The 23532-nt window shown below is 36.9% G+C and overlaps 1 protein-coding gene and 1 pseudogene across 2 annotated transcripts in view; both read right to left on the bottom strand.

Annotated features, from left to right (window-relative positions):
- HYAL4 (hyaluronidase 4) overlaps positions 1 to 23532 on the bottom strand; it is a 113774-nt gene that overhangs the window by 54215 nt on the left and 36027 nt on the right. The gene's annotated exons all lie outside the window — the stretch shown is intronic.
- HYAL6P (hyaluronidase 6, pseudogene) lies at positions 3837 to 9128 on the bottom strand (annotated as a pseudogene). Its single transcript, NR_002731.1, has 2 exons — positions 8236 to 9128; positions 3837 to 3926 (listed from the first exon to the last, which is right to left on the bottom strand). The product of NR_002731.1 is annotated as a hyaluronidase 6, pseudogene (transcript).

Raw genomic sequence — 23532 nt, 5'->3', positions numbered from 1 at the left:
ACACAAATCAATAAATGTGATATACCACATAAACAGAATGAAAAATAAAAATCCTATGATCATCTTACTAGAAGCAGAAAAAGCACTTTTTAAAAATTTAACACCCCTTCACAGTAAAAACTCTTAAAACAATAGGTGTAGAAAGAATGTGCCATAACATACAAAGGCCACATATGACAAGCCCATAGCTAACATCATAGTCAATGATGAAAAGTTGAAAGCTTTTTCTCTAACATCAGAAATAACACAAGGATACTCACTCTAATCACTTCTCTTTTATTCATTTTAATTTAATTATTTTTCTTTAACAGATGGAGTCTGTCACCCAGGCTGAAGTGCAGTAGCACAGTCATAGCTCACTACAGCTTTGAACTCCTGGGTTCAAGTCATCCTCCTGCTGTAGCCTCCTGAGAAGCTAGGACTACAAGCACACACCAACACACCTGGCTAGTTTTTTCTTTTTTACCTTTTGTAGAGATGGGGTCACATTATGTTGCCAAGGCTGGGTTTGAACTCCTGGCCTCAAGCAACCTTCATCCCTCAGCTTCTCAAAGTACTGGGATTATAGGCATGAGCCATCTCATCCAGCCAACTCTGACCACTTCTATTCAACGTAGTACTAGAAGTCCTAGCTAGAGCAATTAGGCAAGAAATAAAAATGAATCTGAATTTAAAATTATTCTTGCTGCAGATGATATAGTTCTATATATAGAAAACCCTAAAAACTACAAAAAATGTCATAAGTAATAATGAAATTCAGTAAGGTTGCAGGATACAAAATCAACATACAAAAATTAGTTGAATTTCCATCTATTAATAGTGAGCCATCTGAAAAGGAAACTAAGAAAACAATTCCATTTACAATACCATTAAAAATAATAAAATACTTAGGAATAAACTTAACCAAAAAAGTGAAAGACTTGTACATCAAAAACTACATAATATTGATAAAAGGTGTTAAAAGAGACATAAATAAAAGATAACCTATGTTTATGGATAGAAAAACTTAATATTGTTAAAATGTCCATACTATCCAAAGTGATCTGCAGGCTTGATGCTATCCCCATCAAAATCCCAATGGCATTTTTTACAGAAATAGAAAACAAAAAACTAAACTTTATATGGAACCACAAAAGGCCCAGAACAGCCAAAGTAACCTTGAGAAAGAAGAACAAAACTGGAGGCTTCATATTTCCTCATTTAAATATATATTACAATTCTACAATAATTAAAACACTATGTTTCTGGTATAAAGGAAGATATACAAGTCACAGGAACAGAATAGAGAGTCCAGAAGTAAACCTACACATATATGATCAACTGATGTTTGACAAGAGTGCCAAGAACACAACAGAGAAAGGATAGTCTCTTCAAGAGATGGAGTTGGGAAAACTAGATATCTGTAGGCCCAGAAATGAAATTGGATCCCTATCTTATACCACACACAAAAGTCAATTCAAACTGGACTAAAGACTTATTTAACATTAGACCGAATACTGTAAAACTCCTAGAAGAAAACATAGGGAGAATGCTTCTTGACACTGGTCTTGGAAATTATTCCTTAGACATGACACCAAAAGGACAGGCAACAAAAAGAAACATGGACAAATGGGATGCATCAAACTGAAAAGCTGTTGCACAGCAAAAGAAACAGCAGTATGAAGAGATAACCTACAGAATAGTAGAAATATTTCCAAACCATATGTCTGATAGAGGTCAATATCCAAAATATATAATGAACTTCTATGACTCAGCAAAAAATATATATAACCCAATCAAAGATTAAGCAAAGGACTTGAACAAACATTTCTCCAAAGAAGACATACAAAGAGCTAACAGGTATATGAAAAGACGCTCAAAATCATAATTATTGGGGAAATGTAAATCAAAACAATGAGCTATCACCTCACACCTGTTAGGATGGGTATTATTTAAAAAATAAAAGATAACAAGTGTTGAAGTTGTAGAGAAATGGGAACCCCCATACCCTGTTGATGGGAATGTTAAATGGTACAAGAGCTATGGAAAACAGTATGGAAGATTCCTCAAAAAATTCTAACTATAATAACTACTATATGATTCAGTATAAATGCATATATACTTCTGGATATATAAAAGAAGTGAAATTGCAATCTCAAAGAGGTGTCTGCATTCCCATGTATATTGCAGCACTATTCACAATAGCCAAGAAATGGAAACAATCCAAGTGTCTGTTGACAGATAAATGAATAAGGATAATTCGGTATATACATACAATGAAATATTAGTCAGCCTTTTAAAAGAAGGAAATAATGTCATTTATGACAACCAGATGAACCTGGGGGACATTATTCTGTGTGAACTAAGGCAGTCACAGAAGGACAAATGCTACATGATTCTACTTACGAGGTATCTAAAATAGCCAAACTCGTAGAAGCAAAGAACACAGTAATAGTTGTAAGGGGCTGAGGGTGGGAGAAATGAGAAATTGTTATTTAAAGGTTGTAACGTTTCAGTTATGCTAGATAAATAAGTCCGAGATATGCTAGTTTAGTTACGCTAGATAAACAAGTTCGAGAGATCTCCTGTACAACATAGTGTCTATGGTTAACAATATATTAAGCACTCCAAAATTTAAGAGGGTAGATTTCATATTAAGTGTTCTTATAATAAAAGGGGGATTGGTAATTTTTTTTTTTTTTTTGAGATGGAGTTTCACTCTTGTTGCCCAAGCTGGGGCACAATGGCACAATCTTGACTCACCGCCAACTCTGCATCCCAGGTTCAAGCGACTCTCCTGCCTCAGCCTCCTGAGTAGCTGGGATTACAGGTGTGCACCACCACATCCAGCTAATTTTGTATTTTTAGTAGAGACGGGGTTTCTCCATGTTGGTCAGGCTGGTCTCGAACTCCTGACCACAAGTGATCCACCTGCCTCGGCCTCCCAAAGTGCTGGGATTACAGGGATTACAGGCGTGAGCCACCGTGCCCAGCCAGAACAGAGTAGATTGTTAATAAACCTTTATATACAAATAGATTTTTCTCCCACATGCATTTCTATAATAGGTAATCAGCAAAGTAAAGAATCATTTTTGGGCCAGGTACAGTGGCTCATGCCTGTAATCCCAGCACTTTAGGAGGCTGAGGCGGGCAGATAGCTTAAGGCCAGGAGTTTGAGACCAGCCTGGCCAACATAACGAAACCCTGTCTCTACTAAAAATACAAAAAAATAAGTCAGACATGGTGGCACATGCCTGTAGTCTCAGCTAGTCAGGAGGCTGAGTCACGAGAATCACTTGTACCTGGGAGGCAGAGGTTGCAGTGTGCCAAGATTGCGCCACTGCACTCCAGTCTGGTGACAGAGTGAGACTGCCTCACAAAAAAAAAAAAAAGAAAAAAAAAGAATTATTTATCATTTTTGGAGAATCTGCCCTCAGTGCAAATGAAATAATTATTCATTTTTAAAATTTATTACTTTTTGTTTGTCACATATATATTATGCCATTTAATCTACCAAAATCCTGCAGAGGAGGTTTTATTTTAGTCTAATTTTTTAGATGGAGAAGCTGAGACTCAGAAATGTTAACTAACATGCTCAAAATTACACCCCTAGGACATAAACATCAGTTTCTCACTTAGCTGTCTGATTAGAATGATTGTGCTCTTTCTACCCTTCTACTAACCACAATGGCTGGTATGGAGTAGGTGCTCAATGTTAGACCCTGTACTTTTTGAATTTCACTAAGGTCAAGTAAGCAGATAATCAGCAACCATTTGACTCTGATGCGAAAAAAAAAATGTTTTTAAACCAATCTCAAAAGTATATTCAAGTTGCTGACAGAGAAATCATTGCTTACCTTTGAAGCAGAATATTCATATCCTCCCCACAATATTACTCCTGCTGCCCCCAATGCTGCACTTTCGCCAATTGCATGCACTAAGTCCTCCTAGAAAAGAGAGGTATCAGGAGTAGTTTCCACCAAGTCAAATTTTGTCAGTGATAATGCAATAATAAGACTCAATCCCTCAACTGTGGTAAGGAACACGTTAATAATGATATCTTTGTTTCCAAAACAAAGGACTGTACCACAAGGTAAATACTGCGTGATCTCACTCAGATAGAATCTGAAAAAGTTAATCTCATGGAAGTAGATAGTAGAATGGTGATTACCCGAGGCTGAGGTGGTTAGGAGGGAGAGGGGATTGAGGAGATGTTGGTTAAAGAATACATAATTACAATTAGATAGGAGGAATAAGTTCAAGAGATCTATTGTATAGCATGGTGTCTATAGGTAATGACAACATATTGTATTCTTGAAAAATGCTGAGAGAGTGGATATTAAATGTTCTTAAAATAAAAATAACTGTGAGGTCATGAATTTGTTAATTAGCTAGATTTAACCATTCTGCAATGTATATGTACCTCAAAACATTATGTTGTATATGATAAATACATACAATTGTATATGTCAATTAAAATATAAATTTTAATACACAGAAAAAAAGGCATTTCTTTTAAATAAAGCTATCATACAAAAAATAAAACAAAAGACCATACCAGAATTGGAAAAGGTGATACTGCCTTGGATTCTTAGATTTATTTGAGAAATATTTACAATGTTCCAGGCAATATTCTAAACACTGAGAATATAAAAATGAAATAGATTTCAATTCCTTTTCTTGAAGGAATGCTTTTTAGTCTAATGGTTGAGACAGACATATAAACAAGTGACTATAACATAATAATTTTTATATTAGTAGCACTCACAAAACATATATAAATTAGAAGTGCTTAATACTTCATGGAAGAGTCTGGGAAGGCTTCCTTAACACGTTAAATTTCATATGACTCTTGGGAATGAGAATCAGTAGACTCTTGAGAATGAGTATGAATTCACAAGACAGTCTAGAGAGAGCAGAGTTTTATATCCACAGGAAGAATAAGAGCAGAGACTTAGATCCAGGCAAAATCACAGTCCATCCAGAGAACTCCCAGTACTTCCTTGTGGTAAAGCACACAGAATTTGGAAAGTAAAAACATATGAATTTCTATGTATAAACAGAATCCAAATACAAAGAGAAAAATGCTGTTTTAAAGTGTTAAGACAACTGGTCAGGTGCAGTGGCTCACGCCTGTAATCTCAGCAATTTGGGAGCCCGAGGCAGACAGATCACTCAAGGTGAGTAGTTCGAGACCAGCCTGGCCAACATGGTGAAACCCTATCTCTACTAAAAATACAAAAATAGCCAGGCATGGTGGTGCCTGCCTGTAATCCCAGCTACTCGGGAGGCTGAGGCAGGAGAGTCTCTTGAATTCAGGAGGCGGAGGTTGCAGTGAGCCGAGATCCTGTCACTAAACTCCAGCTTGGGTGACAGGGCGAGACTCCATCTCAAATAAATAAATACATAAATAAATGTTAAATATTTAGTGCTGGAAAGACACAAATTTGCAACTTTGATTTTTTTTTTCTTTTTGCATATAAAGAATGCATTGGAAGATGGGTAATCCCAGCACTTTGGGAGGCTGAGGCGGGTGGATCACCTGAGGTCAGGAGTTCGAGACCAGCCTGACCAAAATGGTGAAACCCTGTCTCTACTAAAAATACAAAAATTAGCCGGCGTGGTGGCACACGCCTGTAATCCCAACTACTCAGGAGGCTGAGGTGGGAGAATCACTTGAACCCAGGAGACGGAGGTTGCAGTGAGCCAAGATCATACCACTGCACTCCAGCCTGGGTGACAGAACGAGACTCCATCTCAAAAAAAAAAAAAAAAAAGAAGAAGAATGCATTGGAGGGGAAGGTCAAGATAGTACAGGCAGGAACACCAATTAGGAGGTGATAGAAATTGTTCGGTGAGAAATGATGATGCCTCAACAAAGGCAATGTAAATCCTTGTAAAGCAGAGGGAATAGATTGAAGAGTTATTTGGAAATAAAGATGGATAAGTTTTAGTTACCCATCCGATAATGGAAAGAGGAAAAGGGAGGCAGCCAAGTGACTTTCAAATTGGGTGACTATATAGATTACAGTTCATAAAGATAAGAAACCGAGGATGTTATGCTAATGTATATAGGCCAAGAGCAAAGAAGTAGGAAATAGGGAGAGATGGGAGATAAAGGGGATGACCAATGGTGCAATCTGCATTCTTTTCTCCCCTACAAGGTATGGAGAGTCAGAGATCCAGTGCAAAGGTGGAGTGCTCACAGACTGCAATGAGTAAATTGTCACGCCACTGTAAGCTTTCCTGCGTTATAGGAAGGTTTCAGCAATACTGGCATTTATGTTCTGCAATTTGTCTAAGTAATACAACAAGAAAGGAAATCATTCTTCCATTATACTGACTAATATCACATTCCTTAAACCTAAATGTAGTCGCTTATTTTAATTGAGACACTCCTGAAAGCAAATACCAAACAGGACTGGTTTAAAAAAAAATGCGTTGGAAAGTTATGTTACTTAGACCAAAGGTGAGAAAAACCCATACTGTTTTTTGATATATGATACATGGAAGGCAATTAAAACAATTCAATATAATGCTCAGGTGATTCTATATATTTTGGTGAGTAGAGAATGCAGTCTATTGATTTCTCAAGTAGAGCTCAGAGGTGATACTTAGCATATAATTTACTTTAAAAGTCTAATGTACCCACAAAAATTAAAAATAAAAAAGATTAAAAAGTCCAATAGTACAAAAAATAGGAAAGCAATGAACAAGGCTTTTATGAAAATGTGGCTCATCTCATTCTCCCATTTTCTCTCAAGGTGAACTCTTTGACTGCATGAATTATTATTATTTTCTACTGTTATTACTAATAACATGTAATTCCTGACACAAGGTAGGCACTCAAGAATTTCTCAATGAATAAATATAACCCAGGTTATTTTTCTGAAAAGGATTTAAGATAGTAAAATGATTTGAGAAAGCTGGCATCACTTGAGGAATACCTTAGCAAGAAGACTTTGGTAGGCAGGCCTGATATCCTAAAATACCTGGACAACTGGCTTTTGAAAGAAGGATTTGCTGTATTCTATGTTGCACCAGAAGGTAGAATTAGAACTAGTGGTATGAAGTTATTAAGAGGCAAAGTAGATTAAATATACTTAAAAACTTTCTAGGAATTAATATTTCCCCCAAATGGCAGTTTCCCTTCTAATATAAGAAGTGCCCCCATCAAAAAGTGTTAAAGTATAAGAAAGGGTTTTTATTTGGGTAGGAGATGGGTTAGTGCCCATGAGATTCTTCCAAATTTTTGTCATAATGCTATGATTCTTTTCCTTCTAAACTTATTGAATGAATAGCCCATTCTGAATAATACTGAGTAATCCTGCAAAGATGAATATGTCAAGTCTAATTAATAATTGGATTTTATTCTGAAATATTTAGGAAGAATTGCTACTGCTTTTAAATGGCCTTATCTCAAACCTAAGTGGTCTAAGTGAGCTGTGTATTGTCCATACAACAGCTCTGCTTCTGTGTTGGGTACTGGCATAAAGTATTGTTGGCTCTCAGGTATAGATGGAGATTTGAGGATTTTCTTATCTAGCCACCTATCCAATGATTGAATCCTTACAAGAATGTCCTATGTGACAATCTAGTTAAAGTTTGGACACTTGCCATGTCTTCAAACTTATTATCTTCTAAACAAGCTCATCTCCACATCTGTAGGCTTCCAGCTTTGTGTTCAGTCTAAAGACAATATCTGTCTCCTTATATAAACCAGTTTTAATGCCTTGACAATAACCACTAGATTGCATTGTTGACTGTTAAAGACAAAATCAAGAGAACCTATGTAATTTTTTTAGTTAGCCTAGCTAATTAAAACATACAAATGCAATATAATGAGAAATGTAGTTGGTTAATAATTTACCCTAAGCTCTATGTTGCACGTTTTTGATTTGGAAAATTGCTGTTACCTTTTCATATTAAGAAGTTAGTTCTAAAATTTCTCTCTGGTTAAAATTAATCTGTCTGTTACATTATTTAAATCAAGTTTAACCTCTGTTCTGTAGGAAACTCCTGTGAATGCTAAGCTGGTAAGAATCATTATCCAAAAGTGTTAAGTGTACATCTAATTGTCAGTGACATTTTTCAGAATTGAGTTGACATTTGAAGAAATATACATGTTTAATAAGAGAACAGCATTGTATTGCTAAGGGAAAATAAATATCCTAAAACATTTATGTATAGGCTTTATATAGTTATTCTACCAAATTTCCATTTTTTTTAAATGTGAGTGACTGTGCTTTTCCTTACCTGTGACAGAGCTTCAGTACTATGCAAATAAAATGGTCTGGAAAAAATAAAAACTGGCAAAACATAGTCATGTCTAGCCATTTCAGCAACCCTCATGGCTTCTCTAACTCGATAGTGAACAAATTTCAAAGCATTTAAGCTTGACTTCAGTATTTTATCCAAATGTATTGAAGGATAAAGTGCTGCGCTTTTTTCCCACAGCCACAATTTGGACAATTACCTGTGTACGTCTCTGGATTTATTCTGTAATCATAATTGTAGCAGTCTGGATAGAGATAAAAGCCCCATAAACATTTTGGTCTCATTTCTAAAGCCAATGTGAGAGTAATGTTCATGAAATTTTTTCCAGCATTTTCAAATTCCTCTCGGGCAACTGTTTCCACTTTCATTTCTGACCAATAAGGATGATGGTTTCTAGTGAAGGCTAAAGAGTGGTTTTTATATATTATTCTGCTGCCCTGATTTCTATCCCATTGGGGTTTCCAACTTTCCCAGTCAATAACAACAAGTTCTTCTGATCTCCACCAAGGGACACCTTCTCCAATGTCATCAGCAGTTTTCCTAAGGTGTTCAGAAAGGCTCACATTCTGCGGTATTCCTCCATTAAAGGATTTTCCATCTTGAGATAAGTAAGGGTAATACCCTAATTCATTTGGATAAAATATGGCAATTTTTGACCCACTCTGAGTCTCTAAAGGATTTGATATAATGTTAAATACTTGAAGATTTATATCCACGTTGAAGGAAGGCATACAATACATTGTTGGGGCTGCCCAGAAAATGTTGAAAGGCTGGCTCTTGATCACCGGAGGCATTGCTGGTTTGAGGGCTGCCTGAGTTAATAGGATAAAGAGTGGTAGCACTCCTAACCACGCCACCCATGGGTTACACATGGCTTGAGGTTTTCAGCATTACAGCAGTCTCCTTGAAAATAATAAGCAAAATATCATACATAATGGAGTCAAATGTCTCTTAAGTTTTGTGGTATACAATGAATAGACCAAATATTTTAAAATATCTTTGAGGCTTATTAATATCTATGCCAATTTATAGTGAAATGTGAAAAAAATATATACTCAATAAAAACTATAAAAAGTTTCACACATTTGTCAGCTATGCAAACTCTAGCTGCTAGCCATTCTGGTTTTAATTTCCTATGATTCTGAATACGCTAACCCAAACCTTCTTGTACTGACAAGCCTTCACTGGCTCTAAGAGGAACTAGAAAAGAAGTCTGAATGGATTGTCATATCTCCTTATTGATTACTTACAAAGTGACTCCAAGAACATGCCCACTTGAAAATTAACAAATATTGGGATTTTAACTAATATTAAATAGAACAAAAAGAAATAACTAACTGTACTAACAGTAAGTAATACTTTACATGCAATTTGAAATGCACTGGCTTCAAATGTTTATTTTTAAAACAGAGAGCAGTTACCCTTGGAACTAGCATAGGCTGAAATAAAAAACAAGTAGAAATGTTAATTACCCTGTGTTGATTATGGATTTTGGTGCTATCATCTTCTTAGGCATATAAACAAGCCTAAAATCCTATTAGTTCTTTAACTCCAGTGGTTTTCCTATAAAGAAACTGGATTGTATATTCAGCAGTTAAACCCTAAATAAAACTTGTCTCTTTAGGCCCCTTTAACTAGTCTGTTGGGACGAAAACTGCCAAAGAATCTTCCCAGAATATAAGGACTATCTAATAGTTGATGCATTCCAGCCAACAAGATCTCATCCTGAAAGCAATATGGTTTCAGTTACATATCAAAATTATCTTATCGTATGGATTTTTTTAAATAAAGGAATTTATTTTAAACAGATTTTTCTCTGATATAATTAAACTCAGTTTCTTTTTAAGAATCATACATTGTTTCTCATGTAGTTCTTGGTGTCTTTATTTAACGTACTAAATTCAGGAAAGACACCAACCAAAATTGTACGCTAACTCTCACAACATAGCACCCCAAGTTTGTAAAGAAACTTGAGTTCAAGTCGTATGCTCTCTGTACACTGAATTTTTAAATTAACAAATGTGAACGATAATTTACTCTTTTAAATAAATTGGATATTATTGAGACAATTGCCTTCATGTGGAGTGTGTATTATAGCACCAGATGAATCTCTAAGCTATCAGAGATGGTTTTTCTCCCATCACTCTTCTCTAATCATGGGATCTTAATTTGACTCCCACTCCCCCACAAAAATATAAAGGCAAATCTTCTTCATTCTTTATTTGTTGTTCAGGGAAAATGAAAGAATATCTACTCTCCATAAATATTATTCTTTACCTCCCTCTGGTCATGACTGCACATTGCGTATATATATGCCTAATAAACTGACACCCTTGGGAACAAAAAACACCTTTTTAAAATGTCATATCACAATAAATTTTTTAGAGCCAAAGGGCCTAAAAATACAAAATATTGTACTTTAGTAAAATACTGTTACAAATTTCCTCTTCTAGGAGATTTTCATTATGTTTTCCATGTATATAAATGATACACAATCATCTATTTTTCTAGCTAGCCTATGGAAAAATTATTTTGGCATTATTTTGGTCCCTAGTCTACATTTTATAACAGACTTCTACTACAGTAACAAAAATATGCATTATAATGGTATGCATTTTTAAATATAATGAATTCTTTCTACATGCTGCTGAGATTTTATTTTTTCTAGCTATTTTTATTATTCAAAATATAAAACTAGATCTACATTTTTCCACTTATAAAATATATATACTAATACATGCATACATATATACACACATACACTTGAATTTTTGTTCAACAAATCTGATATGTTTCAGGCAAGTAGCCAGGTCTAGTGAAGCAGTGGGGAAAGCAACATAATTCCACACATTGTAAAAAGGTATAGATACCAGCCAGACGCAGTGGCTCACACCTGTATTCCCAGCACTTTGGGAGGCCGAGGCAGGCAGATCACGAGGTCAGGAGTTTGAGACCAGCCTGGCCAACATGGTGAAACCCCATCTCTACTAAAAATACAAAAATTAGCCACGTGTGGTGGTGTGCACCTGTAATCACAGCTACTCAGGAGGCTGAGGCAGGAGAATCACTTGAACCTGGTAGATGGAGGTTGCAGTGAGCTGAGATTGTGCCACCGCACTCCAGCCTGGGTGACAGAGTGAGACTCCCTCTCCGACAACAACAACAACAACAACAAAAAAGGTATAAATACTTAGATGTAAAATATAAAACTATAAAACTCCTAGAAAATAATATAGGAGAAAATTTAGATTACCTTAGACAAGCAGATGACTTTTTAGATACAATACTAAAGGCACAATCCATGAAAGAAATAGTTGACAAACTGGATTTCATTAAAAACATCTCATCTGTGAAAGACACTGTTAAGAAAATGAGAAGACAAGCCACAGACTAAGAGAAAATATTTGCAAAAGACATATCTAACAAAGAAGTGTTATCTAAAATATACAAAATCTCTTAAATTTCAACAACAAGAAAATGAACAACAGATTTAAAAATGAGCAAAAGGCTTGAACAGACATCTCATCAAAGAAGATATACAGATATGAAAAGATGCTCAACATTATATGTCCTTAGAGAATTGCAAATTAAAACAGCAATGAGACACCACTACATGCCTATTAATGAATGGCCCAAATCCAGAACAATTCCAACTCCAAATGTTGGTGAGGATGTGTAGCAACAGGAAACTCTCATACATTGCCAATTGGAATGCAAAATGCTACAGCTATTTTGCAAGACAGTTTGGCAATTTCTCACAAAATTACATATACTCTTACCATACAATCCAATCATTATGCTCCTTGGCATTTACCCAACCAACTTGGAAACTTACACCCACACAAAAATCTGCACAAGAATGTTTATAGAAGCTTTATTCATAATTGCCAAAATCTGTAAGCAACCAAAATGTCCTTCAGTAGGTGAGTAGATAAATGAACTGTGGTACATCCAGATAATGGAATATTATTCAGTGCTAAGAAGAAATGAGCCATCAAGCACTGAAATGATGTGGAGTAAACTTAATATTACTAAGAGAATTAAGTAAGCATCTTACTAAGTGAAATAAACTATCTGTAAAGCTTACAAATTGTACAATTCCAACTATACATGACATTCTGGAAAAGAAAAAATATGGAGACAATAAAAAAATTTAGTGGTTGCCAAGGGTTGGGGAGAGGGACAGATGAATAGGTGGAACACAGTGGATTTGGAGAGCAGTGGAACTATTCTGTGTAATACTTTAATGGTGGATACATGCCGTTATACATTTGTCAAAAGCCATAGAATGCACAACACGAAGAGTGAACCCTAATGTAAACTATAGGCATTGGATAATAAGAACATGTCCATGTAGGTTCATCAGTTATAATAAATGTACCACTCTGGTGGGACATGTCAATAGCAGGGAAGGTTGTGATGTCAGGGAGAAGGGAGTATACAACAAGTCTCTCTACTTTCTGCTCAATTTTGCTAGGAACCTAAAAGTGCTCTGAAAAGTAAAGTCTACTTGAATGAAGAAAGTTATAGATGCAATTGCATTCACTGCTACTATGTTTGTAATAGAAAATCCTAGAAACAACATCTATGTGACCAACAAGGAGTTTCTTAAATATATTGTGAACTATATTATGGTAATTACACCAAATATTATAGTATGAAGTAACACGGGTTTTTTTTTTCCAGTTTCTTGTTGTCTTTCAACTTTTTCATTCATTTTGCCATGAAACCCCTCACAAGAAGAAAGTCAGCTTTAAAGAGCCAATTTCAGATTGACACCTGTCAAGTAAACATTTGCTGCTTCTCTTGCAGCCACTGATACCCACACTTCAACCATGCAGGAACCAGAAGCAACCTAGTATTTGGGGAAAAGCACTTGGCAAGGGATAGAGAAGAAGTGAAACACTCCTTGTCTTTTCTCCTGGCAGATTTTCTTCCATCAGATTTAATCCAGAAGAACGAAAAAAGAGTTAACTTTTACTAAACTTTGAATTTAATTTTATAAACCTAATTAGTGACTGAAGTGCTAAAATCTGGTTGTTGAGACTAAGGATCTGTAGGTGACTATAACTTTGAGGGGTTTAGTCTGCTCTTCAGTTTGATCTGATGGCATATGCTTCAATCAACTGGGGCTGTTCAATAAATTGTTAATGGAAGGGACACTTGCTCCCTCCCTGTCCAGTGGGATGTGACAGGTGAGAGAGAACACAACTAGCAGGTAAGAGAGATGCAGAAGAAAAGGTCCTAGAGATGGATGGTGGTGATGGCTACAATGATATGAATGTACTTAATGCAAGAAAGAATGTTGCAAATGCTGGGGGCAGTGGCTCACACAAGTAATACCAGCACTTTAGGAGGCTGAAGGGGGCAGAACACTGGAGGCCAGGAATTCTGAACCAGTCTGGGCAACAAGGCGAAACCCTGTCTCTACAAAAAAGAATACAAAAATTAGCCAGGCATGATGGTGCATGCCTATAGTCCCAGCTACTCGGGAGGCTGAGGTAGGAGGATCACTTGAGCCTGGGAGGTGGAGGTTGCAGTGAGCCGAGATCACGCCACAGCACTCCAGCCTGGGCAACGGAGTCAGACTCTGTCTCAAAAAAAAAAAAAAAAAAAAGAAGAAGAAAAAAAAGAAAGAAAGAATACTGCTGCAAGGGAAGCAGTGCACGCAGTGCACTTGGAGGACAGCCAGTTTTCTATTACAGCAAGAAAATACAGAGAAACTCAGAGAAGATGTATTTGATCTAGGGGATTCTCTTGATTGGAGATTTTAAGTTACAAAGAACATAATGGACAGGTTTTCAGGGTCAGGGAGTGGCATGATCTTGGCTCCATTAGAGAGTGTAAAGAAGAACACACAAAAGACAAATAATAATTTGGGAATTTGGACTTCATGTGTTAAAGGCATGATGGAATGAGTTCTGATGGATTCTTCAAGGGAGATGAATAATCAGTTCCAATTATATCCTCCTTCTTGTCAGTGGTACTATGGTCTGAATATTTGTGTCCCCTCAAAATTCATATGTTGAAACCTAATCTCTAATGTGATTATATTAACAATTGGGCCTTTGGGAGATGATTTGGAAGGCTCCGCCCTCATGAATGTGATTAGTGCCTTTATTACAAAGGCCCCAGAGAATGGCCTTTACCCCTTCCACCATGTGAGGAAACAGTGAAAAGGTGCTCCAACTAAGGAGCAGGCCCTCACCAGACACCAAATCTATTGGGACCTTGATTGTGGACTTCTCAGCCTCCAGAACTGTGAGAAATAAATTTCTGTTGTTTATAAGCCATCCAGTTTAAGATATTTTTGTTATAGCAGCCTGAACAGACTAAGACCATTGGTATCTTAGACATTCTGTAGTGGGAAGATCTAGAGAGAAAGGGCATCAGCTTTCTGTCTAGATCTGTCAGAGTTCTATGAGGTCTCTTTTCAGTTCTGCCAAGGACAGCGTCCAAAATGAGCATGAGGCTTTACCATGCTTTTTTTCATACATTTTCTGCCACTGAAATGTGAACCTACTGAGATGGTCTAAACCAGAAAATACACACACACACACACACACACACACACACACACACACACACACACGTGATGATACATATAAAATATGTGTGCATGCGTGTGTGTGTGTGTGTACACATTTCTATGCAACCGGGAATTTCATTCTTTCCACTCAAGGATAGCAAGTCTTATCAGGGAAACACATTCTTATGTACTATGAAATCATCAATCACTAAGTTCATTATGATAAAGCATTGTTAAACCTAGGACCCAGTAAAAAAAATCACATTGGAATTTGCAAGAACTTTTAATCAACAAAGGTTTACATATATACCATAAAGCCTTTTGTAATGTATTATCAGGCATTCCAAGCAAAGATGAGATTTTCTTTTATGGAGGGTCTTGTTTGCACGAAAGCTTGAGCCCTGGCTGGGCAACTATAGTACCTCATGCCTGTAATCACACCACTTTGGGGGGCCGAGGTGGGAGTATTGTTTGAGCCCAAGAAGTTGAGACCATCCTGGGAAACACAGTGGGAGTCTGTCTCTACAAAATAATAATAATAATAATAATAATAATAATAATAATAATTATCCAGCTAAAAATATTAGCTGGATGTGGTGGCATGCACTTGAAGTCTTAGCTACTCAGAAGGCTAAGGCAGGAGGATCACTTGAGTCTGGGAGGTTGAGGCTACCGCGAACTATGATCATGCCACTGCACTCCAGCCTGGGTGACAGAATGAGACCCTGTCTTCAAAAATACATAAAAAATAGGCCAGGCACCTTGAGAGGCTGAGCACCTTGAGAGGCCAAGGCAGGTGGATCACCTAAGTTCAGGAGTTCGAGACCAGCCTAACCAACATGGTGAAAACCTATCTCTACTAAAAATACAAAAATTAGCCAGGCGTGGCAGCACACACCTGTAATCCCAGCTACTCAGGAGGCTGAGGCAGGAAAATTGCTTGAACCTGAAAGGCAGAGGTTGCAGTGAGCTGAGGCAGAGGTTGCACCACTGCCCTCCAGCCTGGGTGACAGAGCGAGACTCTGTCTCAAAAAAAAAAAAAAAAAAAACCATAAAAAGTAAAAGTAAAATTAAGTCAAAAAATTTTTTAAAAGGAAGTTTGAACTCTAATGATGACATCCAGCATTGATCAATTTTTTTCAAACCTGCACATTATTTATGGTTTTAGTTTTCTCAAAGAGATAATAGTAGTAGCTTTTATGAAAAGAAAAAGAAGAGAAATATTGATTAAAGCAGACTTGATACAAAAAAGCATTTTGCTCAAGTTTGCCTGTATTTTAAATTTCTGATGAGAAATTTAAAGCCAGGTCAGTTCAGATTAGATTCTTTTCGAAGAAATAAATGATTCTCTAAAAAGTCTATGAGGTTTATAACTCCTTCAGAAATAAGCAGGGAAATTGCTATATATCACATAAGCTTTAAATCTGGGGAAAAGAAATTGTATGCAGTAATGTAATTTTCCCCCAAAAGGTCCAGGAGCTGGGGTAACTGTAGGACATCTATAAGGATCAACTGAAGGACTTCCTGTGGAATAACTAGGCCAATCCTGTCCCTTCCCATTCCCTAAGTACTAGGAGTACCTGACTGAGTGAAGCTTTTTCACTAGCCTGAAGCCTTGAGCACTGCTTTCTAAAAAGTGGTGTGACCATCTGGAGACAGCTACTAGCCTGGCCACTGAGGTGAAAGGAAGAGAGAGAGACAGAAGGAGTACGAGAGAAATGGAAAGCAAGGGCCGGGCGTGGTGGCTCATGCCTGTAATCTCAGCACTTTGGGAGGCTGGGTTGGATGGATCACCTGAGGTTGGGAGTTTGAGACCAGCCTGACCAACATGGAGAAATCCCATCTCTACTGAAAAAAAAAAAAATACAAAATTACTTGGGCGTGGTGGCGCATGCTTGTAATCCCAGCTACTTAGGAGGCTGAGGCAGGAGAATCGCTTGAACCTGTGAGGCAGAGGTTGCGGTGAGCCAAGATCCCACCATTGCACTCCAGGCTGGACAACAAGAGTGAAACTCCGTCCCAAAAAAAAAAGGAAAGCAAGATTATGGCTACATCAGACTGCCACACTAAGGAGTAATGGAGAAATTGGCAGTATTTCCCAAGAATGAGCTACACTAAATACACTAAAGCCTCCACACGAAAGGAAAACCTTCATTACTTTGGCAAGGTTGGGGCCTCCTTTCTGCCTACCTAAAGCCCACCTATGGAACTTACTTTGGTTTCAGCATCCTCCTTTCCCCTCCATGTTCCAAGGCCAGCTGCTCCCAGTGCAACACTCTCACCTCATCAATAATTTGATTGATCTCTGTATGTACTATTATGCCAGCCTCATCTTGTCTTGATTATTTCAGTTTTGTTGATGAGTCTTGAAATCAGATGGTATAACTCCTTCAACTTTATGTTTCTTTTGCAAAATTGTTTTGGATACTCTAGATCCTTTGCATTTCCATATATATTTTATTTTATTTACTCATTTATTTATTTTTTCGGACGGAGTCTCCCTGTTGTCACCCAAGCTGGAGTACAGTGGCTCAATCTCGCCTCACTGCAATCTCTACCTCCCGGGTTCAAGTGATTCTCCCGCTTCAGCCTCCAAGTAGCTGGGATTACAGGTGCCTGCCACTACGCCCGGCCTATATTTTAAAATAGACCAGTCATTTCTACCAAAAAAGCCTGCTGATTCTTTTACTGCAATTTCTGCCTTTTAACTGGTGTGTTTATGTAATATAATAAATATATTACATAATGTAACAATTAGTACAGTGGATTTTGAGTCTATGATCTTACTTCTTATTTTCATTTTGTATCTTCTCTTTTTTATTAAATATCATGCCTTTCTTGCTCTTTCACTTTATCTACTGCCTCCATCATTCTATTTCTTTTTTATTATGTTGTTAGTAGTTGTTCTGGGACTGATAATATAACTTAAATTATCAATGTCTACCTAGCTTCAGTATTACTGTTATTCACACTTTACATTTCATACCTATCACTTTCCACTTCCCACTTTTCAATTCTCACTTCCCCCTTCACATTTTACACTCCACATTTCAAAAATGTAATAACTTTACAATAATATAATTCCATTTATACCTTCCTTCATTTAAAGACATAAGAATTGGAAAGGAAAAGAATAAAATTCATATCCAACAACATTATTGCTTATGCAGATATTCAAAAGAATCTACAAATTATGTGAAATAATAGGAGGGTTGAACAGATTGTTGGATACAAGATTAATATATGAAAGTCAGATGTATTTCTACTCACTAGCATAATTGAAGAGAAGACAAAAGAAGATTCAAAACTTCCGCAAGGCCTTTACAGGGGAAAGTTATTCATCTTTATTGAGATTATATTATAGGAAACCTAAATAAATGGACTTACAACTTTTTCACCCTTACCATTCACTACATAGCACAATCTCTTGATTTACACTGATTTCACCTTTCCAAACCACCTGGGGAAGAAAGGCTAGAGGTTAAGGAAGGGCTCATCTCTGAGATCCTGCTTAGGAGACCCCACCTCCACATCTGGAAGTGAGAATAGGTTACATTTATAACCTGTGAAATCATTGTGCTTAAGATAAAAAATTTTAAATACTCAATAAGAATTCACTGATATAAAGATCTATTGAAGGACTTCCTGTGAAATAACTGTGGAATAATGTCTATAATCTATAGCCAAAGTTTGTAAAGATTCTAACATTCAGATTCAATTCAGTATCAGCAGAGTTCACCACCACATTCATGGTTAGATGCTAAAGATGGACACAAAATCCCGCCCAAGAAGTTCAAGGTCTAATGTGTGGGCGGCCATGTGTGTGTGCACACATGGAATGTATGTGTGGGAATATATGTGATGGGAACTGGAAGGAAGGAAACATATACGTCCTATTTAAAATACCAAGGAGAATAGCACGAGTGCTAACTTTTTCTTTTTTTAAATTAGCTGTTACAAAATTAATGATCATTGCAAAAAATACAGAAAAAGATAGACAAAATTAAGGTTAATTTTATTCTTATTACTCAAAAAGTAATATTTTTCCTGTGCACCCTGAAGTGCTGATTAAATGAGAATCTTTTCCCTCCCTTCCTCTAGGACTCTTCAAGATAAACACTGAAGAGGACAATCAGGGCAAAAGGCCAGACTTCCATATGAGGGGTCTCAGAGCACTGGGATTTGTAGTATTATTACACCTGTGAATCAGTAATCCCCAATGGTGGGTAAAGTCAAGAAACATATGTGCATAACCACACTCACCATATACTTCGTTACAAAAACAGTGTCACACTATATATGCCATTTGCTACTGTGTTTATTCACATAGGTTGGGTGGCAGCTTGTGAGAATAATCAGCTTTGTTAGAGAGGGGAGAAAGCTACATTTTCTTAGCATATATAGTATTGTGGGAGTAAATTGTGAACTCTAGTATAAGGATAAGACAATTATATAAATAACCTACATATTATGTGGAGTAAAATCAGTTCCATAAGCTAGACATACCCAGAATGCCATGTGAGTTCAAAACGTGGAGCTATCAAATGTGGTTTAAAAGATCTGGATAAACTTCAAGCTGGAGGTGGTATTTAAGGCTTGAAACATAAGCAGAATTTCAACAAGCTGAAATTGCAAAGGGACTCCAGATGGAGGAAATGGCAAGAGGAAAGATGCAGAAGAAGAAAGACAAAGGGCATGTACAAATGGTAACAGACACTGATTTGGGGGTGTACATATCTTCACATGGAGATCTGCTGCAGGCAGTTAGGAATTTTTCTAGAAGTATAAAATTGGGCATCTTCTGTGTTGAAGTGATGGTTGATGCAAAGGAGGAAAATATCTACAGAACAGAGATGAGATCTGAAGATAGAATTTTGAGAATCACCTACATTTATATCGAAAAGGAAAATGTCCAATAATAAAAGGAAAAATAGTCTTGAGAGAATTGGGAGGACGGTATAGTGTACCTAAAGATAAGGAACACAAACATTTAAGGAAGGCAAGCTGTGGAAGATGAAAACCAAGAAAAGGCAACTTTGCTGAAGCCATTAGATGCTGATTAAAGATATCAGTATACAAGTATTAAAACATTGAAGGGGTTTATGAGTAAATCAGTCTAGTGAAGGCGGCATTCTTTTTTACATGCAAATGATGTCGCTGTGGCCCCCTTTTTAAAAATTCTTTTAAATTCAATTTAAATTTAAAATTTTTAAAAAATTTATTTTATTTTTTAGAGACATTGCCCAGGCAGGCCTCAAACTCCTGGACTAAAGCAATCAATCCTCCTATCTCAGCCCTCCAAGTAGCTAGGACTAGAGGTGCATGCCACCTTGCCCATGGAGTCTGTGGCCTCTTTATCTCTCCCTAGAGATACTTCAGCTAGAGTAGAGAGAGGATTATTTCTCAAGAAGGGAATGCTTGGATGGTACAGCCTCTCAACTTTGTGGTACTCAACTGAATTTACTCCTGAAAGGCTAAGGGAACAGAATGACACCAGATTTAGAGTTGTAGTAAATAATCAGGTGTATGGAGCCTAGTGTCTTTCAGTCCCGAGACACCAGCAAGGTCAGTCATGACAGATTTTAAGACATAAGGTTGACCTTACACAGTAGTGTAATATAGTAGTATACAATTGCATATGTTTCATAATCTTAAAATATGTATCCTATTTGAAATGGTACTACATCTTTTTAAAATTATTAAGCCATCTTATTTTTATAAGCAGATGAAAGTATTAGTTAATACTTGGCTTTTCCTTTAGTATCTTTTGTTTCTGTCTTTAAAATTAAAGATTCAGTGCCATAAAAAGATCTATAGGGCGTTGAAGAGTAACGTATGCCCAGGCTGTATTCTTTTGTAGGGACGTCTTCAAAAGAAAAAAAAAAATTCCCAACTTGGGATTTACAATGTGGGTTAGATATTTAAATTTATATTAATAATAAATGTAGCCAAAGAATACACAAGACAAAGTAAATGGAACTTGATTTGTTGTCTAATACAAGCACTGTTGATGTGTGCCAAAAGGCATAAGTTCCATTTAAGTCAAATTATCTTGATTTATTAAAAGTTGAACAGAGGATTGTCAGGAACAGAGAAGTCATCCTTGATATGGAAAAATGAGATGAAAGCTCTCCTTTAAAAAGAGCATTCTATCTGAAGATTATTAAAAGATTTACAGTAGAGGGGACTATGGTGAGGAAAGGGGTATGTTTAAATAAATTTAATTTAAGTTTAAAAAAGTCCAAGTGGACATTTAAGTTAGAATATGAAGCAAAAAAATAACCTTTTTATATAATATCAGAAACTTCTGCAACAAGTATCTGGGGAAATGTTTCTTTTTGGAAGCATCAGGCATTACATTGGTTTCTTTGGCAACAGTCATACTTGGAGATCATATGCTCAGTTTCTTCTCACACACTCATCAATCAGAAAAGTCACTCCTCCTCCCCTGGAGAGGAATAAGAGAAAAGACAAGAAAAGATAAAAGTGTTTTCCATACTATTCTAGAAACCCTCTACCCTCTAGGAACAAAAACCATGGGGGAAAAAAATGCACTGCCCTCACACCTGTCTATAGGTGACCAGGCAGTCTGGTTTGCTGGGGAGAATCACAATTTACACCTGTTGCCCTCGTGTGATAATTAGTAGTGCACATTTTAATACCCCAAACTGTCCCAATTTAGACAATAAATTATATGAACAGCCTAAATATGTAGCAATTGTAGACTCAAGAGATGTATAATACTGAAAATAGAAGTTTTGTAATAACTTCTACTTAGCCTGCAAAATTGAGGACTAGGACACTGAAAAAAGATTATAAAATCAAACATGAAATAAAATTGATGAAATCAAATAAATAAGATACATTTACTTACCTTATTTTTTATAGAGAACGTTTAAACTGCTTAGAAATAAGAATAGGTTTTCGTATTTTGTAATTTAACTTTAGGATTTAAGTTGTCTTCAATAAGTCAATTTTTACTTTTTCATCCTTTCATGAGAGAAAAGGCCTTTCATGAGAGAAAAGGCCTCAGGTAATTTATGGTTCAAGCTAATGAGTACCTTAAAATAGTTTACCTATTTTTGATTGAATATTAAAGTACATGGATGGAAAACAGATCAGTATTCCTTTTCTGAATTAATAACTCAATGCTATTCCCACTCCCACTCAATTCTACATAAATTTAAAAGACAATCATTTTTAAAAAGTTTTAGTAGATTTAACAAGATTTATTTAACTGCCTCAATAAGAAAACCAAAAGTGAATGAGAAATAATATGAATAATGCCTAAATTGACCATATTCTCATTGGCTGATTCTTTGTATTTTTAGTAGAGACAGGGTTTCACCATGTTGCCCAGGTGGGTGTCGAACTCCTGCGCTCAAGCAATCAGCCCACCTTGGCCTCCAAAATTGCTGGGATTACAGAAGTGAGCCACCAAGCCTGGGAAAAACTTCTATTTTTAATTAATAGTGATTTCATGTACCAAATAAAATAAATTTTATTTTGAAATTACACTGAGGCTGGGCACAGTGGTTCACGCCTGTAATCCCAGCACTTTGGGAGGCCAAGGCAGGTGGCTCTCCTGAGGTCAGGAGCTCAAGACCAGCCTGGGCAACATGGTAAAACCCCGTCTCTGCTAAAAATACAAAAAAAAAATTAGCCAGCGTGGTGACGCGTGCCTGTAATCCCAGCTACTCAGGAGGCTGAGGCACGAGAATCGTTTGAACCCGAGAGGCAGAGGTTGCACTGAGCCGAGATCAGACCACTGCACTCCAGCCTAGGTGACAGAGCTAGACTGCGTCTAAAAACAAAACAAAAAAAAAAGAGAGAAAAAAATTACATTGAGATTTTAAATCGGTATTACACTAGATGGAATTGTTAAAGATGCAAGAAAATGAAGTGATTGCATTCTAATTAGACCATAGAAGATGATATGCTTATTTGATATTTTAGCTATCAAAAGAAAAACTTCTTTTTTTTTAATTTTTTTTTTTTTTTTTTTAATTTTCAGGCCGGGCACGGTGGCTCACGCCTGTAATCCCAGCATTTTGGGAGGCCGAGGTGGGCGGATCACGAAGTCAGGAGATCGAGACCATCCTGGCTAACACGGTGAAACCCCGTCTCTACTAAAAATACAAAAAATTAGCCGGGCATGGTGGCGGGTGCCCGTAGTCCCAGCTACTCAGGAGGCTGAGGCAGGAGAATGGCGTGAACCCGGGAGGTGGAGCTTGCAGTGAGCCGAGATCGCGCCACTGCACTCCGGCCTGGGTGACAGAGCAAGACTGTCTCAAAAAAATAAATAAAGTAAAAAAAATTGACACAGAGTCTTTCTTTGTTGCCCAAGCTGGAGTACAGTGGCGCGATCTCGGCTCACTGCAACCTCCACTTACCCAGTTAAAGCGATCCTTCCACCTCAGCCCCACCTCCAATAGCTGAAACTACAGGCGCACCACCATGCCTAGCTGATGCTTTGTATTTTTAGTAGAGGCGGGGTTTCACCATGTTGCCCAGGTGGGTCTCGAACTCCTGCGCTCAAGCAATCAGCTCACCTCAGCCTCCAAAAGGGCTGGGATTACAGGCGTGAGCTACCAAGTCCAGGCAAGACTTCTATTTTTAGTTAATAGTGATTTCATGTACCAAATAATGTATTCAAACAAAAATTCATATTAGAATTGAAGTAAATAAGAGACCTTGTTTAAAGTGCAGTCATTCCTTGGTAGAAAAACATATCTGATAAAAAGAAC

Source organism: Homo sapiens, chromosome 7 (genome assembly GCF_000001405.40).
Source record: "Homo sapiens chromosome 7, GRCh38.p14 Primary Assembly".
Classification (NCBI taxonomy): domain Eukaryota; kingdom Metazoa; phylum Chordata; class Mammalia; order Primates; family Hominidae; genus Homo; species Homo sapiens.
Note: the sequence above shows the minus strand (reverse complement) of the source record. Positions and strands in the feature narration are given on the sequence as shown.